Source organism: Homo sapiens, chromosome 2 (genome assembly GCF_000001405.40).
Source record: "Homo sapiens chromosome 2, GRCh38.p14 Primary Assembly".
NCBI classification, from domain to species: domain Eukaryota; kingdom Metazoa; phylum Chordata; class Mammalia; order Primates; family Hominidae; genus Homo; species Homo sapiens.
This window is the reverse complement of record NC_000002.12, coordinates 160,408,898-160,434,795: the sequence shown is the minus strand read 5'-3', so window position 1 is coordinate 160,434,795 and position 25,898 is coordinate 160,408,898. Positions and strand designations below refer to the sequence as shown.

General features: G+C 37.3%; 1 protein-coding gene across 3 annotated transcripts in view, besides 1 other annotated feature; it reads left to right on the top strand.

Annotated features, from left to right (window-relative positions):
* Positions 1-25,898, top strand: part of RBMS1 (RNA binding motif single stranded interacting protein 1) — a 221,657-nt gene that overhangs the window by 59,012 nt on the left and 136,747 nt on the right. The gene's annotated exons all lie outside the window — the stretch shown is intronic.
* Positions 16,592-17,126: an enhancer, noted in NCBI's record as "NANOG hESC enhancer chr2:161274181-161274715 (GRCh37/hg19 assembly coordinates)". NCBI's record gives its function as "activates a minimal SCP1, AML or CMV promoter by ChIP-STARR-seq in naive H9 embryonic stem cells {active_cell/tissue: H9 hESC(naive)}" and the evidence as "EXISTENCE:reporter gene assay evidence [ECO:0000049][PMID:30033119]".

The window sequence follows — 25,898 nt, the reverse complement described above, 5'->3', positions numbered from 1 at the left end:
TGCTGGCCGCAAGATAATTGCCATATTTAACTGATCATAAACAATAGTTTCATTTTTCAGGGATTTAGTTAATTATAAGCCTGTGCTGTCTAATAGGGTAGCCACAAACTCTATTTAAATTTAAATTACTTAAAAATTAAGTTTCTTAGTTATGCTAGCCATATTTCAAGTGCCCATTAGCTGCATGTGGCTAGAGGCCACTGTATTACTGCAGATGTAGAATATTTTCATCGTCACAGAAAATTCTAATGGATAGCACTGTTAGAGACTTCTTTCTAACCTGTGCGTTGCTGTTTTTTTTTTTCCTTTCTGTCTCCCTCAAAGGCTCTTTCTTTCATGTTTGTTTGTTTTGGGTGAGCAATGTGGGGGGAAAAGGAGCTCACACTCATGCCCTATTTTTTAGTAGTGTTGATGAAATAGTTGGTAATTGGATGGACTGAAACTATTGGCTAGAGTAAGATTTTGAAAATATTTTTGAATTTAATATATATGTATTGCCCAAAGCAGTAGTTGTAGAGGTTTTTATTTGTTTTTTAAATGGACTAGAATCCTGTATCAGCTAAACACTTCTCATGAACTAGTGACTACAGTTTTTCTATTGAATGTTATTTCATTACTTTTAAACGTTTTATTTTATAACAAGCTCCTTTACTACAGTGAAAATTCAGCTCCTGTGCTCATATCGAAGTCATTTGACTAGTATATGCCCTTTTCTCAATTTAAACACAATTTCTAATCCAAGATCCATTCAGATCTTGATATGCCAATTAAAATATTGACTTTAAACAAAAGGGTCATAAAAATGTGAGATTAAAATGATTAGGAGCTGAGTCCTTATCACATAATCCAAAGTAAACGAGGATTGCACAATGCCATACTTAAGAGGAAGCGCAGTTCAGTTGCACAGACATGTTCCTAGATATTCCAAACTGCTTTGAAATTATAGTGCTTTGTGTTGAAAGATTGATATTAAAATATACTTGGGAATTAAAATTCACTTTATGAAGAATTGTTGCCAAAAGGCTTTAAGATAGCACTGTGAAGACATGATATGAAAAAGAACAGTCTCCAAAGCCAAGCCACATTTCTGCAGATCAGAATCAGAAAATTTTATGTAGGCAGTGTGGCTTACCAAATGTGTCTTTCATAACGGAAGCCTATTTTTCACTTTAACATTGACATACTGTATGTAAATCCAGGAATCAAAATTATACCTCAGTGTCACTTAATGTTTGTTATTTGGACCAAATTTCACTTGTTTTAATTGTGAAGCTAAAAATGGAATTTTGTTGCTGAAAACTTGAATTCAGTGAACTCAAGTTCTCATAACTGTGAACAAACTTGTTTTAAAGTTTTTTTGTGTTTTGTTTTGTTTTTTTCTGGCGACAAGGTCTCACACTGTGGGCCAGGCTAACGTGCAGTGGCACAATCTCGGCTCATTGCAGCCTCAACTTCCAGGCTCAAGCGATCCTCCTACCTCAGCCTCCCGAGTAGCTGAGACTATGGGTGTGCACCACCACACCTGGCTAGTTTTTGTATTTTTTTGTAGAGACAGGGTTTCACCATGTTGCTCAGGCTGGTCTTGAACTCTTGAGCCCAAGCGATCCACCTGTCTTGGCCTCCCAAAGTGCTGGGACCACAGATGTGAGCTACCTCACTCAGTCTAAAGATTTTTTTTTTTTTTAATATTCGTATCAAAACCAGTGAGAGTAGGTGCTCATCCCGGAGATGTGACCAGTTAGCTAGAAGCCAGGAACCTCAGAAGAGAAGAGTAGCTCGTAACTCAGCTTGCTGGATCCAACAGGATGAGAATTCCCTGAGGATTGGGCAACTAGGGTGATTTCCCAGATCTAATTCTGCTCTGTTCTGGGTAGTTGGGCAGGCTATGTAGTATATCCGAATTCCAAACCATTAAGTGAAATGCTTGTTATTAGTGATACCCAATCATTGTTTCATGACACACCAGTGTGTCACAAAGATTTCCTGCAGTGTTGGCAGTGAGCCTCACTTTTCCCAAAGCTCTGGCTCCTTCTCTGACACATTGCCACCAGGTGGCCTGCGTGACCTTTACTCCCTTTTCCCCGCCCAAACATCTTACATTCCTTATACCTTATATCTGGATTTAAGAAAAGACTTCTTTTGGACAATTGATTTGCAGTTCCTAATCTGAGTTCTTACACAGTTGCCAAGCTATTATTGCTGCAAGGAGTTAAATCGGTTTTCACACAGTTCTAATAGTTTATTGTCAAAATGTCATTTATTTGAGTTAAGCATTGCCAATGCCCCCATTAAACCACTGTTTCTTTTATTTCCTGGAGTTTGGAAGGCATTCGGGAATACCAAGTGAAAAGGAAGAGTGAAGAACAGAAAAATGTTAGTGGGATGGCAAACACTGTGAACATTGCTGTTTCTAGTGGGCCAGAAAAATGTATGTATAAATCTTCCCTGTTCTTAGAGGCGCTTTCAGATTCTCCTCCACAAAGCTTCCTATGGTCACCATTTAGAGTCAATCCCCTTTTCCCTGTTCTCCATGGTATGTTATTTAGTTCTCTTCATATTACTGGATCAGAGTCTGCTTTACCACTTGGTCATTTGTGCATGTCTTTTTCTTACTGAAACTGTCAGATTCTTCTTTGTATCTTCAGAAGTACATATAATATAATGTAACATATGCAAGTTTATATGTAGACATACATTTTTAAATTCTTTAAATATAATAGATTCATGTTCAATAAATAGTATTGAATACCTATTCTGTACTATACAAAACACTGGTGATAAAACAATGAGCAAAACAGGCACAACCCCGTTTCTCAAAGAGCTTTTATAATGAGGCAGAAAGGATGGACATTAAATAATAATTTAGATTGCAGCTTTGTGAGTCCAGAAAAGGAGATATACAGTATGCTATATGAGGGTTATATAACAGGAAGACCCAGCCTATTCTGGGGATTAAGAGGGAAGATTTTCTGGTATAAGTAATTTAAGCCGAGCCTTGAAGAATAAGTTGGAGTTAACTAGGCAAAGAGGTAGAGAAGGAGCATTCCATGCATAGAGAATAGCATGTGTGAAACATACTGCTGGATTGGTTGCCTTGCAAGTATAAGGAACTGAAAGTCCAGATTACCTGGTTCTTAGTGGTGAGGAAGACAATAGTGCAAGATAGTACTGGAGAAATAAGTATGAGTCAAGTCTTGCAGAGATATGTGGGCCATGTGAAAGATTTGGTTCTTTAGCCTAAGATTATGAAACAGACTTTGGAAGGTATCAAGTAGAAGATGCTTAATCTACATTTATCTTAACAGCCTCCCAGTAGATTCCTGGCTTCCAGCCTCTATAACTTAACATTTATACTTATTGTTCTCATTTGCATTGTGACTGCTGTGGGAAACGAGGAAGTAGCATGTCTTCTGCAGGTAATGAGAACCTTTGTACCAAAAGATAGTGGGATGCTTGCTTCCTCAGAAAAGAATCTGGCTAGTAGGTTGATTCGGTCTGGATCCAAAGCTTTCAAAACTTGAATTTTATTCTGTCTTGAATGTGGACCACTTAGTTTATTCTGAAAATCTGATTTCTAGCAGATTTTCAGAATAAACTAATAAATCCAAGAATGGCCTGGGTTACCTAGGCAATAGTCTAATTTTATTAGACTATTTTATTAGACTATTGCCTAGGTAACCCAGGCCATTCTTGGATTCTGAGACCATTCCTCCTGCCACACACAACTCCCCGCAAGAACACTTAGCTATCAGTGGGAAAAATCCAGTGTCTTTCTCTTGCTGGGACCGTCATGTCCATATCAGTCATATACAATATCACAGGTAACCCTGGAGGAGGGAAAGGGGGATGGGGAACCAAAATGCAAAGGACCTGGTGCTAAGCGCCCCATCATTATTTCATGCAACTGAAAGTCAAGCAGATAGGAGAGTTGTAAAACTTGTCTACAATGAGAATAAGCAAGGAAAGAATTAAGGGTCATTTCACATTTAAAAATTCAGCTTACCACTTGAAGCTGTCAGTGCTTTGTGTGTAGAACTTTCAAATAATTAACATTTCTCAAACATCAAAACACAGCTAGAGGTGTGCATAAATAAAGAGGCACAGGTCCCAAAATACTATTTTTACTTTTTGAACTGGTAGGACTAATAGAAAAATAAATGAATACAATTGTTTAGATTAACTAGTTCTTATGGAAAAGAAGCACGGGAGAAAGTAGTTGTTAACCAATACTTGATTATTTGTTAATCACTACTACATAAGATAAAAAGTAGAAAAATAGGGATATATAGCATTTACTTAAGAGAAACATCTCTCTCTTAAACTTTGTATTTGTTTTTAAGCACTCCAAGATCTTGGCCAGGATATTTAACCTTTGATCTAGTTTCCCACTGCATGGTATGGCTATAGGAAATAGTGGATGTAAAAGGGCTTTTAAAAAATATAGACCATGATACAAACATATTTACTAGTATTATTGTTTCAATTATCTATTATGGAGTAACAAATTACCTCCAACTTAAAACTTAAAATGACTTAAAAATGACTTAAAACTTAAAAATGACTTAAAATTTTGCATTTTCCTGGGTTGGCTGGGATCAGCTGGGTGGCTCTTCTGCTCCATTTGACTTTGGCTGGGTCACTCAGGCAGCTGCATGCAGTTGGGAGCTCAGCTGGGGATTGAATGTCCAAGATGGCCTCATTGACATGCCTCACAGTTGTCTGGCTGTTGACTGGAGTGCCTCCATTCTCCTCTGTGTAGCTTCTCATTCTGTACAGCCTCTCTTTCCATGTGGATTCTAACTGGAAGGCAGACTAGCCCAGATTTCTTTACAGGGTGATTGGCTGAAAGCCTCTTCAGGCCCAGATCTGAAAGTCACTCAGCCATACTTCTGCATTCTACTGTCACACAGGGCCATCCCTTAGGCAAGGAGAGGTGAAACAGGTTCCAGTCCTGGACTTTGGAGGAGAGAATCACATTGGGAAAGCACATGCAGAGTGGGAGGGATTGTGGGCAGGTATTTCTGGAAATGTCTACCACAGTTATTATTAAATACAGCTTGAAAGAGTAAAAGATTACAATCCCAATGAATAAGAATGCTTATTCATTGTACTGCTTCCAGATATTAAAATTATTAAGTTACCTTTAACATATGTGTGCTGTACATAATAACCATGGCATATATTCACCATAGCTATTCTAACTGAAGGAAAAGATATATTCCCCAAAAACCTAATTCTTGATTTAGTCTTATTGTTTAATTTTTTAAAAAGTGTACTACAATCATAGTTTTTATTGTTTCAGAGGTTAAATGCACTTTACGTGTTTACTGATACAAAGGGAATTTTGAACTCCCTCTAGTGGCAAAAGATTTTCTTTTATTTTTTCCAAGAGCTTACTTAATAAGATGGCTGACATGTATAACAACATAGTTTCAAAAATGACCTGTTCTTACCATCAGAAGATGCCCACTTTCTCCTGTGTGAGTTATGGTGGGTCCTTTAATCTCTTATGAGAAATGTTAACCTTTCCAAGAAACATTGATCATATTATATGAAAAAAAAGGAAGAAAGGAGACTTCCTGTTAACTTTAAAGTGCAAAAACTGCTAACTGCTCCCTTTAGTCAGGGTCTTAAATAAAAACTATTATATTTTGACAATTAAAATATCATTTTCCCTGGCTAAAAAGTAAATTAAATTTTAAATTTTTGCCTGAAGAATTATTTTTTGAACAGACAAATGTATTTAATTGAAACAATCTTTACATAGAAAGCAATAGATAACTGTTGAAAAGTGCAGCTTGGAAAGCACTAATAGCCAAACTAGGAGGATCATAGGGATCCCAAAGTGTTATGCTTGTCTTGAATTCAAATTTGGATTTTCATAGCCAATAGGGAAGGAACATGGTTATCACCATTACGCCATACAAAAGGAAGCACAATGTCAAAGGGCGGGAATAGAAAAACAGCTATTACAGACTTTGTAAATTAAGTTTTCTTATCCCCACCCCATTGCCAAAGAGAATTAATAATACTAATTAACTTAGTCTGTTACGGGTCCATCTATAGACAGATTTATTCTGGTTCTTTATATAGTAAAAGGACATTTCTGTGATGCTAAAAGACATTCTTTAAAAATGCTCTTTTCCCAGCTATTTGTGGAAGCCGATCCAACCTATCCTGTACTGTCTCGTAGGTTGACACCCAAAACCTCTGTTCTCCTACCCACAGTAGTAGGAAAATGGCCAGGGATGGTAAGAATCCATAGAGTTTTTTTCTTCTTCTTCTTCTTCTTTTAAAGCTCTAGAAAGTGGAACCTAGGATTATAAAAATAATTCCCCGACATGCTGTTTTGTTTGGGACTAAACTATGAAATAGCAAGATTTCACTACAATAATTAATCCAGCCAATAAAAAGTTAGACTTTGTTTCTTTCCAATACCTCTTTTTAGTTCGACATTTATAACTAAGTCTGTGTCTCTTGTGGTCTCGATTACATCCGGTGTTTTCAGCTGGCAGCATTTCCTCTGCTGAGGCCACCCCACGTTTTTTGCCAGGCTACATTTCTGTGAATATAAAGAGAGAAAACCAAGTTGTATTAGAGAGTGAAATTTAAGGAGAAATTGAGTATAACTTTGATTTTTGAAACAAAAACCAAGCCACTGTATTTGTTATAAACAAACTGGTGATTAAAATATGTAGGCTCCAGAAGTACATGGAAAGTCTTATAGCCATCTCGTAGCCATCCTGCATGTTTTCTCTTAAATATTTATAATAACCTAATTTAACTAACAAACAGAGACCAGAGATTCCCTTCCAGCTTTGCTTGCACAGATTTGAAATAATGAAAGTGAATTTGCATTTCTTAAAATGGTGTTTTCTTCCAGCTCTCATAGAAATGTTTTTGGAACAGTGATCTGTGCTAACAGCTGTATTCAATCTTGAGTAAAAGTCACTTCCTGAAGAGAATGAAATTCAACTTAACATTCGAACTTGCCTAGAACATAATCCTGTAGGGTGAGTGTACTATGTGATTATGAAACTGGACACAGGCACCCTGCTGAGATGATTTCTTGTAAATAATACCCAACAGAAACCATTAATCAGTGTCAGTGTTTTTAACTGAAGAATTAATATTCTAAAAGTGTTCCTTATTCATACAGATAACCGTCTTAGTTTTCAAGAATTTTAGTCTTTGATATTTTAAAAATGTAATTCCCTTGTGGAATTGGATCTATATGAAATCTCTATGTATTAATATATACCATCAGATAGACATAAATATAGATACAGATAAACATATATGTTTATATATTTAGGCTTTAACAATTTTTTTAATTGTGTCATTCTTGATTTTCAGGTAAAATTTATTTTTGACTCAGTTCTCTTTACCTATTCACTCATTTATTTATTGCAGTGAGCTCAATTTAAATAGAATTTTGTTCCTGGCCTCATAAAATTAGTTGTAGGTATATATATGGGAGGTACAGTTTTAGCTATGATGGATTTAAAAAATATCTCTTAGATAGTTATTATTGACCTCTACTTTCCTAAATATTATACTTCTTTATTTTAAAGAAGGAAAATGTTGTATTAACGTAACTTGGATATTGCTAAAACCTTAATGGAATCATCCCTTAGATGGAAAAGTGTCCACTGAATCTTCTGTTTTCTTTATGGATCATTATTTTGTCATCTAAACAATGAATGTGGAGTTTTCAGTCATAGGCTATCAAATTGATTAGAGATAAAGTCTAACACGTTAAGGCAGAATTAACAAACATACAGAAAAATTCCAACCATCTCAATTTGTAGGAATCAAAACCGTTTCCGGCCTTACTTTGGTAACAAAAAAGGAGCTAGGCTTTCTTCCATTCCTTGACCAAACCACTAAGTTGCCTTGAAGACCTTTGTTTATAATGTCTTCTTACATTCTTTTCCCCCTGACATGCTCCCCTCCCTCCAGCAGTGAGATACTAATTAAAGAGAGGCCACTGTGACCCTAGGTTGTTTAGAAGTCACCCGGAATGAGGTGGCGGCACAGATCTGGAGAGGAAGCGCTCATTCCTAAATATAACACAGTCCTTAAGACCATCTTGTCAAAAATCTGTTGGCTTCTAATAGCAAACAAAGTACCTCCTTTGACTTAAAAGGTATACACTTGAAACTAAAATGGAATCTCTAAAACCTACTTTAACAACATCTATATCCACTTTTTATAAGAATTGGCAACAAATAAAATTAACTCATGTATGTCACATGATAGTTTCTTTCAGAGACACTAAAATATAAACATTAAAAACATTTTAAATTTGATAAAGGATAATCTAATTTTTATGTTTGTTGAGGGAGAGGGAGCATGTATCTTGCCATTCCTTTTAAAAAATTAGAGACAGCTTAGATTGTGTATGAGAAGACTCTTTTCTTTTTTTCCCTCTCTCCTTCCCTCTTTCCTTCCTTCCTTTCCTTCCTTCCTTCCTTCCTTCCTTCCTTCCTTCCTTCTTTCTTTTCTTTCTTTCTTTCTTTCTTTCTTTCTTTCTTTCTTTCTTTCTTTCTTTCTTTCTTTCTTTCTTTCTTTCTTCTGTCTCTCTCTCTTTCTTCCTTTCTTTCGTTTGGACACCAGGCAACACTTTAATTGGGATGATAAAATGAACATGGTGCCTGCCAATCGTGGAAGTGCAAGGACTGCAGATTTTTCTTAATATAAGTGTTTTGAAAGACATGGAAATAATTTAATAACTTGCCTTAAATGAGCAGGTGGTGCTGCCTGACATTAAATTATTTCCTTCTTAAGTGGACTTGCTGTTGCTAAGTACTAACTTACAAGAAGCAGTTTCTTGCACAATTTTATTAGTGCTTGTTTAGCAGGATACTTCTGATTGCAAGCACAGTAATAGAGACCCACTACTGTTTGTGTTAAGTAATGAGGTGGAATTGTTCTAAGAATATATAAGGGAATAAGAATCTTAGTTATGAAACCCGATCTCAACAGAACCTGAGAAAGCAGCCTCCTAGGTGGGTCTATGGAGACCAGTTGGATGACAGTTTTCCATTCAAGGCACAAAATCAAGAGCAGGAGTTTTGAATTTTTCCCCTTGAACTTCTGCCATTTCTGCTGTAGTTGCTCTTTGTTTAGCTGGGTTAGAGTCCGGCTGCTTTGCTTCTTACTGTCTACTGCCATTCTTCTACTCTCTGAGTCTCACTGTCCTGTGATTCACTTTCCAAGTGATGATTCCTCTACCTCATTGCTTCTCCTTCCTTCCAGCATTGCTTGCTCATGGCCCCTCAGCTACCTTATATAAGGCCTCCTTCTCCATGCACAGTACCCGGTGGTTTTAGACTCCCTGTAAACACTGACTGAATGAATAGATGAGGAACATTGTTAGGGAATTATAAAATGTAAGCATTTTGTGTTTTCTTTTAGTTAGCCTTTAAGGGAGCTAAGAAAATATAAATTAATTAAAAGCCAGCTGGAAGACAAATGTTATTTTGAAAAATTTAAGAGACCTAATCATCTCCCTTTAGGTTAAAAAGGATTCACTGTAATAGTAGTAAGAAATTATTTATTTACAGAGGCACTGAACAAGTGTATACCGTTAAACTTGAGATTCTGGACTACCTTATAAAAAATAGTAGTGCTTTTAAATGCTCTCACTTCACACTGCCCCATTTAAGCAGCCACACTGGCAGGAATGGAGATGATAATTTAACTTCAGACTCCAAGAAGGGAAGCAGTCATTTTTTATTGACCATATTCCATTTAGGAGCCAAAATTAAGGTCTAATAGGGATCTGAAGACTTTTTTTTTTTAATCCTTCAGATCTTCATCTTAATAATTTATCTGTGAATAGATGATCAATTCCTGATTATTTTTAAGGCAGTCTTTTTTTAAGGATTTTTAAATCCCCCACCTTCCTATTGCTGCTCATTTTTTCCCCCTTTTTAGTTGCCCAGGGGACAAAAATAAATACCAAGAAAGAGTTCTCAATTCTTCATCCCTTTGCTGCCTTTTATTTTTTTAACATGAAAGGTTATAAACATTCTGTAAAATCTTTCTTAATTTCTGCTATTCATATAGTCATTTGTGAGTGAATAGACAGTAGTCATAAGAAGACCCAAATATGTATTTTTTTAATCATATAAAGTTTTTAACTGAATGTTGGGTTGAAGAAGAACCCAAACAGCAGTTTAAAATTCAGTTGCTCAGCTTCCCGGTTATAGCATGAACATCCAGAAGTGGCCAGTTAATGGGGCTTCATTCCCCTGCACTTTGGAAATGACCAGCAGTCCCAAATGCATTTGAGAGTATTTTCACTCATGAGAGAAAACGTGCTTCTCAGATTCTGAAGGCTTTCTGAGTGAAAACCAGACAAAACAGACAGTAAGAGTGCTAATAAGTATGAGACATCTTTCTTTTTGTTTCCCCCCCCCCCCAATCTCTCACCTCTGGCTTAAATTCTTAATTTTATGAAATGATACTTGGCTGGGTGCGGTGGCTCATGCCTGTAATGCCAGCACTTTGGGAGGCTGAGGCGGGTGGATCATTTGAGGTCAGGAGTTTGAGACCAGCCTGGCCAACATGGTGAAACCTGTCTCTGCTAAAAATACAAAAATTAGCCAGCGTGTGGTGGCGGGCGCCTGTAATCCCAGCTACTTGGGAGGCTGAGGCAGGAGAATCACTTGAACCCAAGTGGCGGAGGTTACAGTGAGCTGAGATTGTACCACTGCACTCCAGCCTGGGCGACAGAGTGAGACTCTGTCTCAAAAAAAAAAAAAAGAAATGGCACTTTTTTTCTTGAACTTCCAAGTCAATAAATTTTAAATAACTTTTCTTTCTAGAGTTGTAACAGTGTACAAGGCATTGAGGTAGACCGGATGCTCTGGACGAGTTTACCCTCCAGTGAAATGGACAGATAGATAGAACCAAAGTACAATACAAATGGCCTTGGTGGGGCACACCAGTTTCAGTAGTGATATCAGAGAGAGAGAGGAGCGAAGGCCAACCAGGGGACACAGGACCTCAAGGAAGTTTGAACCAGGGGTCTAGATCCCAAGAGAAGAGCCAAGATTGGAGCTCTGGCTGTGGTATTCTTTTGTTCACTGGTGATTACTGAAATGTTAGTTGTGGGTGAGATCATACGTGGAAAAGAACCTAGAGCAGAGAAAAAAAGATGGTAAAGGAGGACCCCAAAAGAGTAGACAACTTGGAATTCCATGAAGATGAGTGGCTGGTGCTGTCATAAAACTACATCATGTTGTGTGGGGACAAGTGGGAGTCAGAAGCCAAGTTATAGTGGTCTGTATCTGGAATGGGCAGTGAAGTGCAAACGTCCACTGACGGACAGTCTTTCAAGAACTCCAGCAGCGAAAGAGAGAAGGAATAAAGTAGCATAAGAAGCAAGGGAATCATTTCCCTCCCCCCCACCCCGCTTTTTTTTAGAATAGAGAAGACTTGAGCAAGTTAGTTTACTGGAAAAATGCCATTGCATCTGCTGTTCACATTTTTAAAAGGAAAATATATTAATGTATTACTTTTATAGTAAAAAATGTATTAAGTTGCCAAGAAAAATTGAAAGAAAAAAAGAAAAGAAAAGAAAAAGAAAAGCAAGCAATCAAACTGGTATAGAAGTTGGGCTGGGGAAAGTCAAGTGAGGGTATGTTATAGAGAAGTTCATTCGAAATCAAGGATGCAAATGGAAACCTAAATCTTGAACACAGAGAAGCTATCTAGCTAGGATAGAGAAGAGTGCCAAGAAGAGATGCAAAAGTATAGATATGTATTTGAGAGATAACTGAGAGAATTTCATGTAAATAATGAATGATCTCTACCTTATCATTGTAGGGGTAGGATTAGGAATTTGAGAAAAAAACTAAAAGGTTTGGAATTAATTCTCCTTGGGATGGGATAGGGAGCCACTTGCAAATGAGTAAAATGAATGCTATACAGCAGTAAAGGTATAACTAAAATTGAGTTTTTAGCATAGTATGATTTGCCTGGGAGGTTGTGAGTAACTCAGGAGAGGAATAGAAAAATCTGGTGAAAAAAATGCTTATTTTAAAGATAGGATGAAAGGGCTATGAATACCAGGCACTAGAAATAACAAACTTGAATTAGCTGACTGGGGAATTTAGGTTTGTTAAGTAAATTAAATGTGGTGGGGCGGGGGGAGCTGTGAGGGGTGGGTGCTGGTGGTGCTAGTGGTGGTGATGGTGACCTCATAGACTAGAGGATGGGAGAATAAAGAGAATGAGGGAGAAACTTACATTTCCAGGTCTGAAAATGAGAATAATAGTGTGGTGTGGGGATTGATGAAATAATGCCTGTAAAATACTTAAAACAATGTCTGGCACAATTAAAATGTCTAATGCTATAATTTTTGTGAACAAGAGTACAGAATAGATGGAAGAATTGGAATTACAGAACTTGATGATACACAATGATGTCAGTCAATGAAAGAAAGTGGATGTGTAGGTTTTCTTGAAGTGGAACTGTCAGGCTTACTCACGACCCCCTAAACTCAAGGCTTAGGTTTAGATGAAATGATATCACCCAGGAAGAGTGCTTAGCTATATGCTATATTTATCTGAAAAAGGTGGGCATTAGAAGAAGGTAAATAAATGATGATAAATATCTTTGTCATTTAACAAACTGAAATGTCTGCTTTGTTTCCTACAAAAACTCTGTGAGGATGATATTGTTGTCTTTTTGCTTTTTACAGCTGAACAGTAGATTTAGGTGAAAGTAGCTAACAGCCAGTAGAACTGTCTTTTTGACACAGTAGTTCTTCTTGAAAGCCCATTCCTTGCCCGCTACTCATTACTATAAATGGCAGCATATAGAATGAGTTAGAGTGAAGACATTTATGCAGCCAACAGACACATGAAAAAATGCTCATCATCCCTGGCCATCAGAGAAATGCAAATCAAAACCACAATGAGATACCATCTCACACCAGTTAGAATGGTGCTCATTAAAAAGTCAGGAAACCACAGGTGCTGGAGAGGATGTGGAGAAATAGAAACATTTTTACACTGTTGGTGGGACTGTAAACTAGTTCAACCATTGTGGAAGACAGTGTGGCGATTCCTCAAGGATCCAGAACCAGAAATACCATTTGACCCAGCCATCCCATTACTGGGTATATACCCAAAGGATTATAAATCATGCTGCTATAAAGACACATGCACACATATGTTTATTGTGACACTATTCACAATAGCAAAGACTTGGAACCAACCCAAATGTCCATCAATGATAGACTGGATTGAGAAAATGTGGCACATATATACCATGGAATACTATGCAGCCATAAAAAAGGATGAGTTCATGTCCTTTGTAGGGACTTGGATGAAGCTGGAAACCATCATTCTCAACAAACTATCTCAAGGACAAAAAACCAAACACCGCATGTTCTCACTCATAGGTGGGAATTGAACAATGAGAACACTTGGATACAGGAAGGGGAACATCACACACCGGGGCCTGTCGTGGGGTGGGGGAAGGGGGGAGGGAATAGCATTAGGAGATCTACCTAATGTTAAATGAGGAGTTAATGGGTGCCGCACACTAGCAGGGCACAGGTATATATATGTAACAAACCTGCACGTTGTACACATGTACCCTAGAACTTAAAGTATAATAATAAAAAAAAAAAGAAAAAAGAATAAGTTAGAGTGGATCTCAAGAGCTGTCCTGCTGTACCTTGAAGAGGAAAAGGAAGAGACGGTGCCTCTTGGTGTGGGGAAGACAGAACGGTCAACCATTGGAGTTTCAACAGAAGTTGTGCCATCCGGGGAAAGTAATTCTTGGTTGCTTTAGTCATTCTAAAATACATCGTGGTACCATCTTGGGTTTTAATAAATAAATGCTCACCCAAGATAACAGTGAATCATTTCCAAACCTTCTTACCTCAAGAGGCTATAATTTTTATGTATCTGACAGCAAAACTTGTTTTATAGCAGAGAAAGTTGTAGGGGGTACTGAGGTTAATGCTTATCTTTTCTGGGTTCCTGTAACCATGTTCTGGTTCATTCTTTGTAACAAAAATTTTCAGTAAAGTTGGGAGCATGTGTCCTCATAATTTCTGGCTCAGGATCATGTAGAAGTGAGCCACAGTGACTGAGGGGAATATATCATAATCCTCAGGTGAGCTGGACTGGAAAGGAGGCCGAGAACTACTGACTGACAGTGAAGCCAGGTCAATGGGTACTTGCTGACTGTCGCAGGCTGCATTTCAATAGAGTACGTATGGGGAGTATGTGCTAAATCTTGGCCATCATTGTATCTTCAATAGAGGAGTTTATAATGTAAAGACACTGAGCTGGCCTAATTTAGGCATTAATACCATCCTTAGAAAATGTAGCAAGAGGTCTTGGAAAATAGATGAGAGTAGGAAAAACTCAGAGTGGGTAGACCATGAGGCATGATTTCAACAGAGTAAACGGAGGGATGAGTGTGGTTTGGCTGATGGAAAAACAGAGGCTGTTTCCTGGCAAAGCTCAGAGCTAGAGAAGAGTGAGTTCATGGGCAGCCAAGACACAAATAGTAGCTGGAAATAGAGGTAAAGGGACAAGGGAGTTAGAAAGTGGAGAGCTTTACAAGTGCTGTTCAGAAATTTGCATTTGATGTGGGAGTTTTAGGAAGTAGAGTGATACAGCCAAAGAGGCCAGAAAAAAATTATTTTGGAAGCAGGGTATACAACAATTTGGAGTAAATAAGGACCAGTCAGAGGGAAAAACAGAAGAGTTCCAGCAGTTCAAGCTCGAGAAAACTCCATAAAAGATATGGAGAAAGAGAAGAGAGTCAGTATGAATCACAGATAAGCTGCTAATTTAAAAATCGTGTATTTTCACTGTCAAATGTAGAAATTAGCAGCCTCCTATTTGTTTCATCACTCAGATTTGCAGCATTTCTCAATGGGTTTACTGTAACCTTTGTACTATCCAGACTGTAGTCTCATAACTTTTTAAATGTTTGGTTTTTTTCCCATTTTCTTTTTTAGGAGAGATTCATGAGGAAAAGGTAAATGGGCAGATAAAGTAGTTATTTAAAAGAAAACTTATAACCGGCTATGTAGTCACTTCCTAGGTGCTGTAGCACCAAGAATCAGTTTACTTTTGTTGTCTGGGATCCTCTGAATCAACCTCACAAGTCTTTTAATACACTGACATCCACTAAAAATACTTGAATTGCGGACATTTTCAAACATACAATAAGGTGGAAAGAAAAACTTCAGCAATTATCAGCACTTTGTCCATTCTTATTTACTGATATAACCTTTTAAATGTTAAATGATAGAATGAAACGAATGATATGATTTTGAACTACAAGAGTTTATACACCTAGGAGTAGACATGGGACTAAAACAAAATTTTTTTAAAGAGTTTATACACCTACTTTAAAAAATCTGTCAGTCACTAAAAGCTTAAATTATGATTCATTTTTAAAATAAAGGGCCAAACAGGCATAGAAAGGGAGGAAAACAGTTCCTATAGTGATTTGCAATATTTTTTAGCCTGATATATTTAATAATGTTCATAGCAAATAGCTTAAGTGAATTCTAAGACTTCTTAAAAGAGTCCCCCTAAAATAGAATATATTTTAAATCAATCAAGAAATTACAAATTACAGAATTTAGCATGATATTCTTTAATATTGAGGAAGTTTGGCTGGTAAATTAGAATGTAAAATTTATCACTGAATTAACCGTGATTAATTATCTCACCCAAGATAACAGTGACTCATTTACAAACCTTCTTAAGTATTTCTTAAGTATTTGAAAGTCATAAGCTTGTTTTAACTTTATAGAATAATAACATCTGTTTGAATAGGACTTGCATACATTTTTAATATATTGCTTATTCATTCATTCCAACATTCATGAACCAATATTCAAACACTTAATATGTGCCAAGCCCTGTGTTAGAGGCTTGGCTATATCAGTAGTTTGGTATGTTAATAATTCTTATTAGATGACTTTCAAGGTGAGATCAATTATAATTTTCTTTTATAACAAGGGGAACATTACAGATAAATGAAATTAATGGATAATCCCCAAGCCTCAGGTTAATCAACCTGCAGTCAATAAATAAATTGGCTGGTTTGTTTCAGTTTTTCATGTTGGTTTTATCATCACACCAGCAGTTAAATGACTAAAAGGAATGCTGCATATGGAAGAAGAGGAAATGCAAGGAACTAGTCAGTTCCTGAACAAATATGAAGTATCAGATACTAATAGTCGTTGTTCCAAATGTGAATCATTTACATCTTTTCCTGTAACTGGGTCATCTTAACTGTTGTTATTGCTTTTGATTCACTTTGTAATTTCATATAAATTTTAAGGACTGTGATAATCATTTCAGATATATGTCTTTTTATCTGATTTACCTGATCTATGTAAAAATTACTTTTCCAATCTGAAGACCCAGAAAGACTAAGAACTGGCACTCCAGGTACCGTAAAAGGGTGGAAATTTGTGAGGCTCATCAGTTGGAATTGATGCCGTGTGCCGGAACAGTACTGATGACTGATCTTTGGAGTGTATGCGTGTCTGTGTATATGCATGCATTTGACTAAAACTTGCCAAAGAAGTAACAGTCCAGTATTCATGTTCTCAAGGTATGTTTGCAACTGACAGTTTAAAGCAGTAACAGCAAGAAGTGTACAGTGGCAAAGTCTGATAAATATCTATAGATTTAGGTTCATCTCCCTTTCATCTTTCTTATTATATAAATGCACTGAAAAACACTTGAAGTAGAATGACGTGATTGTGGAGAGAGAGCTGAGGAGGGAAGCAGACAGCTCAGCTTGTTCCTTTGTGATGGATGTCTTTGTGAGATTAGGGTGAAGTTTCTCATTCTGATGCGTGCAGACTGTGCCCACTACTTGTAAGACACACTGTCAGATCTCCTTGGAAAAACTGAGCATATGAGTCATTTACTTGTAAAAACTTAGTAGCTCTGTGTTCTTAGGAAGATTAAAAATGAGTGTTTGACAAATATTTTTCTAAAGCCAAGGTTATGAATAGAAAGGACATGGATATGCATTTGCATGCTGTGTATTCATGTACTTGTATGCCATGCTTTATAGATTCTAAGACTCACCTTTTTTACATTTCAACATCTCTGCAGTTGAAATGCAGGTTGTAAGTTATGGTGTCTTTTAATTACTGTAGTCCACTTTTTTCAAATGTCAATTAACATCTCTGTAATTTTCAGGCAGCTCACAATCAGTGGTATCTTAGATTGCATGACATACAGTTTATGTCTGAATATTTATAGGACACTGATACAGAGAGATGAGTGTGATACTTCTCTTTTACCCAAAAAATAAAGTGAGAAGATTTATTCTGACAATTAATGGTTGAAGTCAAGAGAAACTATTTGGTCATAGAATCTCATTTACTGAATAAGTAAGTCACATACAGTTGCAAAATGCAACACTTATTTACAGTCTCTCTTTATGATCTTAAGTAATCTAAAGATTAGGATGCAAATTCACTATGTAGTTTATAAAGCATGTTCTTTCTTATTTGATTACTGCATCACTACATTTTTTACATATATATAACTCTTTTTAACCCAGATATTCATGGTTTTGAAAAGAAGGTGAAAATTATTTCTGTCCTTTCTGTGTGTGTGTGCATGCGTGTGTGTGTGTGCACGCGCAAGAAAACTTTTACCTCATCCATTCATGCCTGCAACAAAACATAACTATGTGCAGGACATTAGGTTAAGTTAAATTGTTAGAGATTTACAGACTGCTTAAGCAATCTTATAAGATTCTTAAAGCGCAAGAAAAGATGACTTAGCTCTCACTTTTATAAGTTGACCAGTACAGAATACAGAGAAAAAGCACTATACAATCTATAGAAGCCACCGATTCTAGTCCTGCGGTAGAACTATGATGGATGGTTTCAGATTTCAAGGCTGTTTAACAAAGTTTTCTAGTAGATATGGCTAAATATGAATAGATGGAATGAATTTATTATTGGTCTAGGTGTCCAAGGAGAGACAGTAGCATTCATTCAATTACTGAAAGATTTATTGATAATGATTATTGTATAGCAATTACAAGGACCGGCCCTTAATAATTCTTTCCACCTCTGAAATTCTATATTTCTAGGGCTTCATGTCAGAGGGCAAGTTGCCTGATCGACCTGAGGGTATCTACCTGTTCAAAAAAAGGTCGGCACTGGTGGCGGGGCAGGGGCAGGTGGTAAGAATACCTGTCCTGCCTCCTTCCCCTAGACTTTAATGAGATAATGCATAATAAAGCATTTTATAAATTGTAACATTTTTATAAATTCATTATGTCTTACATGTGAAAAATGTAAATAGCCCCCAAAAATGTAAATGTCTTCAGAAGTTATCTACTTCTTCCTTCTGGCACTTTCTCCAGTTTAAAAGAGTCTAACTGAATTTTAACACTTAATAATAATGACTTGTTTGAAACATTGTATTTGCCACTAGATCAAACATTAGATTGGGAGGTGAAGGAAGGGTGGTTCTGGGAGTATCTAATATGTTGTCAGCGTTCTGGGAGTGTTTTTTACAGTTTGGAATTAGGAATCACTGATGTCATGATCAGTCACATTGTCATGGCAACATCGGAATTTCCTCATTTGCCTTCTCTTCACTTGGGGAGTATCAATTTGCCACAGGTCTGTCATCAGTTCACCCCATGTGTTAAACATACTAGATAACCCAGAACTAGTCATTCTTAAAGATACTCAGGGTGGGGAATTTTTATAAACTCCTTAAATATCCTATTTCAGTACTCTTAACTATGTATCCTGATGTTGGAAACTTTACCTTCATACATATTCAACTGAATAGAAATTCATTTGTAATTCCATATCTTCTTATTTGAACCTTTATAATTCAGGGGAGAATGAAAGGCTTTTCAGTATTCTCATTTACATAAAGGACATCATTAATTATTCTAGCATCCTCCTCTTTAAATGAAATAGACCTAATTTAATGGTAATTTTAGCAACTGAAGAGAAAGGAAACTTACTGTTTCTTTCCTTCTGTGTATTGAATGCTTTAAAACCTTACTTGTGCTATCCATCTTAGGTTTTGGATAGACATTGGTTATGCACCCTCTCCCTACAGATAATTAGGAAATTCTTATTAAATAACCTTTTGCAATTGTTAGCTTACATGAGGGTTTTGTTTTTCCCGGGTACAGTTTGCTGTTAAAGTTAGCTTTTTACTCATGTAAAGGACATGGTCATTCCAGGTTTGAATTAATTTTGTTTCCCACGATATAAAGATTTTTGGCTCCAGTTTTCCACAATTTTTTTTTTAAATTTCCTAAGTACTTTCTGTCTCTTCCCAGGTCCTAGTAGCAAGAGTGGATGTGATCAGAAATTTTCCCAGCACACCCATTCCTTCCTTCCTCACCTCAGCTCTTGTCTTTTACCCACAGTTTGCTCACATACATAGGTAATTATGTTACTTCCATCTCTTTGGAGTCAGAGAGACCCAAGATCAAACTCCAGCTCTACTACTGTAATTTCAGAGATTACCTAGTAATATCTTTCCATCACAATTTATGAGTTTTACTATAATTCATGGAAAATTCATTGAATTAACTTGAAATATTCTGAAAATAAGCACTTACATTTTTATAGGCTTACAATAGGCATGGAGAATAACAGCTCCATACTAGATTTGCACAATCAGAGTATAGAAGATTGAGACATCGTCCAGTCAATTTAGGAAAACAGCAATTCACAATATATGAAAAATGGACCTTCTCTTTGTCTTGGTATCCCAAATAGTTTACTTATTTTGCTGTGGAATTTGATCTATAGCTACAAATTCACTGTTGTTTAAGCCAAAGCAAAATCTTGAATTTTAATTTAAATGGCATTTTATTCAGATGTTGTATTTTTGAAAAGGATATGACTCCATGTACCTGTTTTTATAGATTTTTTTTTTTTTTTTGAGACAGGGTCTTGCTCTGTTGCCCAGGCTGGAGTGCAGTGGTGCAATCTCGGCTCACTGCAGCCTCAGCCTCCCAGGTTAGTTGGGCTAGCTAACTCAACGATTTTTTTAATAGAAAAACTTAGGGACAGAAACTTATAGATAACCCTTATGCCAAAAATTGCTGTCAGCTTTGAATTTTTATTAACTATTATGCCAGAGCAGAGCAATAACTAATTTATGAACAGATTAGATCACAAAATGTTTATAAGTTATTTGTTTCAAATTTGGAGGATGTTTCTTCATAGAGAGATGTTGTAAATGGTGATTAGGATTTTAGTTGACCTAAAATAAGCATCTATGAATCTCATAACTTAGCTAATATCTAATATGGTCTCTCACCCTTTTTTGAGGGAAAATAAAACTTGGTTCCAGTTCAGGATTCTGGAAATAACTTTCACCTAACCACCATCTCAGCCATCCTACAATATCCCAGAAGATAAATTTTTCTGCTTCTCTCCTAACTCTGTCCCACCAATGATTCCAGAAAAAAAAACAAAAAAACAAAAAAACTGGTTTAAAGAGAGAAGTTATACCTTAGCAACCATCAGTGAAGTGAGATTTAGATGCTAGGTTGGGGCTGAATATATATACCTGTACTATTCACGATATATTCGAATATTGGAAAGTTTGCATTTATATTCAGTGGAATGGAAATTCAATGTAAATCCACATGCTTTTACAACTGAGCAAATGGGGGCTTCTAGAAGGGATAAGTGCCTTGCCCAATGTGACACAGATGGTAAATGGTGAAGCCAGGATTCAGGGTCAGGTGTTCTGATGCCCAAGCTTTGGCTCTTAATACCATGTAAGTTTTTCTCTATGGGGCTTGGACTTGATCCATAGCTAATAGTAGTAATAACCATTATTAATATTATTGGAGACAGGGGACTTTGGAGTCAAAGAGACCCAAGATCAAACCCCAACTCTACTATGTATTGGATTTGTGACCTTGGGCAAGTTACTCAGTTTTCTCTTTGGTAAAATGGGATAGTCATTCTTCTGTCCTGGGGTATGTGTGTGTAATGTGCTTAGAAAGTGCCTGGAATATAGTTAGTTACTCAATAAATGACAGCTATTATTATTTAATACTACATGCAGAGAAGCAGCAGTGGGACAAAACTCATTTATTCTGTTTTGTTAACCAGGACAGAATAATCAGACTATGGCTTCTGGTAGGACTCATCAGAATATGGCTGTGTTTGTATTGTTCTCTATACCTTCTAGGATTATAGCTATAGTTTTATTTTATTACAGTGGTTTCAGTTTTATACGCATGTACTTTTATACATGTCTAGGGAGCCTTTACGTTTGGAATAAGAATTGCAGATTTTTTAAAAAGCAAAATAGTAAATAATAGAAAATGTTGCTGCTACTTTAGAAATAGGGTACTTTATCAACTCTATTTTGTACGAGGAAAGAACAGAAAGAATCTGCTGACCCCCTATTTTTTCTTCTTTTTTTTTCTCCTGTTTTGCTGGGAGCCAGAGGCTTTGTGAGCTCTTATACATAGACTCTCAAAAGTAAATAGGTTTTTTTTGGTGTGAACTGCATATACTAACCTATACAGTGTGGCTATATTTTATGCATTAAAGGTTGCAGTCTGATATAGTGTTGAATGAATTTTTCCTCTTAATTCCTTTCACCTTTCAATTTCACCCAAATAAAAATGGGTGCCTGAAATGGTTCAACAGCAATAGAGGGATAGAACCTGCTGTAGGTCAGTTCTTTTCTTGATAGAGGTGTTCTATTCTTATCTCTTGGACATCTTCTCTGCCCCCATTTTTTTTCCTTCTTTCAAAGCTTAGCTTCGCCACCATACTTTCTTTGTAGTAATTTCATTCAAAGCTTACTCTTTTATGTGGGGCTCGGTAATATGTGTATTAGGGTGTTGGGTCCTCTAGGACGCCTCACCTTCCCCTTTTAGGAAGTTCATCAATTAGCAATGATTTCAGCAGTGATTACCCCAAGTCTGCATTGTCCCTCATGCTAGCCTTCTATCTGTAGTTCTGTTTTTCTGATCATCTGCACAATGCTTCTTTCTGAGTATCCTTCTAACAAAACATTTATACAGTTGAGCTTCCCACGCCCATGTTATATCCAATATTGATCTCTCCCTGCTGTGGACTCCCATAGCACACGATTGTCTAGAACACTTGCCTGGCACTTATCACTTAATGTCTTGCATTATTAGTGTACAGCAAGCAATTTGGGCGCTCTATGGTTTACAAGTACTCACCTAGGAATTGAAGCATCATCATCTATAAGGCTTTTTTTGAGATGCGGCGTTACAGAGTTTTAGAGAGCATAAGACTTAGTAAATCTTTTAACCCTAGCCAGGTCTAGATTTTAATCCTAGTTTGCTACTTGCTTACTAGCTTTGTGGATAGGTCACCCAGCCTTAACTTTTTTTCTTTCATCTGTACATTGAGGCTTATAACCCTTCCAACCTCAAAGGTTGTTGTGAAAGTTAAATGAGACGTGAAAGGTTTAAAAATGAAACTTTCATTTTAAAATTGTTGCTTTGGGACAAATGTCTTTCAAATTCAATTCTCTAATTTCAGGTATATGAGCTCTTTTAAGTGGCAGAAGGCATTATTACCTATGTGTGTCATCTCCTATTTTAGATTGCAGGCTTCTGCATGTACTGGTGGCTGCATCCTTATTATTCTAGTTGGTATACACCTCCTGGCTTATGAGAGTGATCTCTGATACTGCTCACAGTCTTCCAATTCATTCAAAAATGGCTCTTCTCCAACACCTAACTTCTTTAAAGGAAACTGGACAAAAACAGATGAAGAAAAACTTCAGTGCACCTAGGCTCTTGAAACAGACCTTTTTTTAGACTTTCGTTTTCCTTTTAAAGTTAAATCTGCAGTATACACAACCTTAGAAAGAATATTCATTCAGCCATTTAACAGTTTTTTACAAAAATGCCCTCCCCTTGCCTAAATTTGCTTGTGCTTAATTCCTGCTGTACCCTTGCTCCTGTTCTTTGATGTTCAGCATCAGTTATTTGCACAGTGCAACCATTTAAATCTAGGCATCACCATGATAAAACCTGGAAAAAAATAACAACAACTGCCATTTACTGAGTTTGACACTTTTGTCCATGTACTGTACTTAAGACAATTTTGTGAGGAGTCTGGCACTCAAGAGAGGTTAGCAAACTTGCCCAGAGCACAAGTGGGAAGCTGAAATATGGACCCAGATCTGCTTGGTTCTGCTTTAATTCTGTTCCTTGGATTGCAAAGTCCAGATTCCTTTAAGCTTTCTGAAGAAGGGTGTTTTAAGTACACATGTGGAGGGGCTGTTGTAAGTCTTAAGAGCCAAAGCAGCTCTAGGGACTGCAGCCCCCTCCATCATTTCATGGCCAAATGCTCACCCACTCCTGGCATGCTCTACTCTCTGCCCGCTGCCAGTAAGCTTCCTGTTTACTCATAGTTTCTGCTTCCTCATAACCTTGGCTTGCATATGGTTTTGGCTTGTTGTGGCCTCAACTCTACCCCTGGCACTCTTATAGTTGCTGGCCCCTTAGTAACTGGTTCAGCCATTGAAGTTTTCAGAATCAAATCCCCAAGGGTGAGAATTGGATTGGTCCTGCTCATTTTTTCAGTCCCAGCCAGGTCATAGGTCACTGGCCTGTCAGTTGCCCTTGGATCAGATTCCCACAGCTTCTTTACCTACCAGCTGAGTGAGGTGAGGGAGGAAGACATAGGACAGCCCAGGCAGCAAAGTCTGTTTCCCTTGAAAGAGGATGAGCATTGGTGAGGTGCGGTGGCTCAGGCCTGTAATCCCAGAACTTTGGGAGGCCGAGATGGGCGGATCACGAGGTCAAGAGATCGAGACCATCCTGGCCAACATGGTGAAACATCATCTCTACTAAAAATACAAAAATTAGACAGGCGTGGTGGCACACGCCTGTAGTCCCAGCTACTCGGGAGGCTGAGGCAGAAGAATCGCTGGAACCCGAGAGGCAGAGGTTGCAGTGAGCTGAGATCGCGCCACTGCACTGCAGCCTGGTAACAGAGCGAGACTTCGTCTCAAAAAAAAAAGAGGATGAGCATCTCTAGGACAGGTTCTTCCAAAGCCCCGTTTTTACCATGATAACTTGCAGTCTCTCTGGACTGTTTTCTTACTTTCTATGTGTTAGAACATATTTGTTTCAAAGGTCGAGGAACTTTTTCAGATGAACCTCACCAGGATCTGTCCCTGTAATCACTCTTACAACTAAGCACTTATGAATAATCTATAATTGAGTGTGTATGTTATATACAGGGTCTCATAGTTATGTTTTTTTTTCTTACGTTGCATTCTTTGTGTTTGAGTGACTTCATTACATTTTAGATTTTGTTGAGGGTAGACAATCTATCTTATCTCTTTGTAATGCTTTACTTAAGAACACAGTACCTAGTTAAGTTTGGAACTTTTGAACCCCGGTGGACATTGTTTTTTTAAAACATATATGCCTTATATTCTCTCCTTTTATGTCATTCACCATTATAGAACATACATTTTGTTGGCTTTTAGATATCCTTCTCTAGTCTTAGAGTCTTTTAATTTTTTTTTTTTTTTTTTTTTTTTTTGAGACGGGGTCTCACTCTGTCACCCAGACTGGGGTGCAGCGGCGTGATCTCGGCTCACTGCAAGCTCCGCCTCCTGGGTTCACGCCATTCTCCTGCCTCAGCCTCCTGAGTAGCTGGGACTACAGGCGCCCGCCACTATGCCCGGCTAATTTTTTGTATTTTTAGTAGAGACGGGGTTTCACCGTGTTAGCCTGGATGGTCTCGAGACCTCGTGATCCGCCCGCCTCAGCCTACCAAAGTGCTGGGATTACAGGCGTGAGCCACCGTGCCCGGCCAGAGTCTTTTTAACATTCTTTTAGTATTCTTAGTATATCTTAGTATTTAGTATTAGAATTCTTTTAGTTTTCTAATTTAAATTTCATCATCACTTAAAAACTTTTCTTATCCCCATAAAACTATTGCAGAGTGTATCCAATCAAATTTTAGCATTCTGGATTGCACAGCATCCAAAATATCATGACCTTAGAGTACAGCCATAGAAAAATTAATCTATTCTCTTCTTTTGTGGTTTACATTGTGGTTTCCTAAGAGACCACTCTTGACAACTGAGGTTGTACAGGGAATTTTTTCCATAGATGCACAGACGACAGGTCTGAGCTGCTGGGGTGTTGAGCAGTAAGTTCTCAGAGAAAGGCACCTATGACTTGAACATTCTGATGAATGTTTTCTATTTTATACTTGTGCTTGATAACTTGCAGTAAAGGGTCCTAGTGAGAGGAGACAGCAAAAGGGAAGTCAAAACAGTTGTCTTATGCATGGAGTAGCAGAAAATAGTTCCACCAGATACACCAATTTTCAATGAATGCTCATTATACTGTGTTTGATACTTAATCACTTTAAAGGACAGATTTTTACGTAAATTTTGTCTGGCAAGTTCTTACTCGTCCATTGTGCACCTAGCACTGTGCCCAGAATAAGTTACTTTGCTTTTTTTTTTTTTTAATGAAAAGAATCAGGAATTACATGTGTGTTTTATACGGTTATTTATAATAGGTGAGGCTTTCCAGTTATCTGGCTGGAGAATGTTGGAAGAGCCTGAGTATGGAAGAGGTTCACTAAGTCACCAGCAGGATATCTAGGATGAATATTTTTTCCAGTTCCTTGCTGCTAGAAAAGCCTTTGAATGGCCACAGCTTTGCCAGAAGACTTCATTTCCATAGGGGACACTGTTTTCCTTAGGGAAGCCAGAAGGCATACGCCTTCACTTTTTAGACAAGTTAGGATTTTTCATTATCATGGCAGATGAGCCTTTCCAGGAAGGTATTAAGAGACCAGAAACCAAGGAAGAACTCTGTAGTATTTACTGCAGCGATAGTATTCTGTA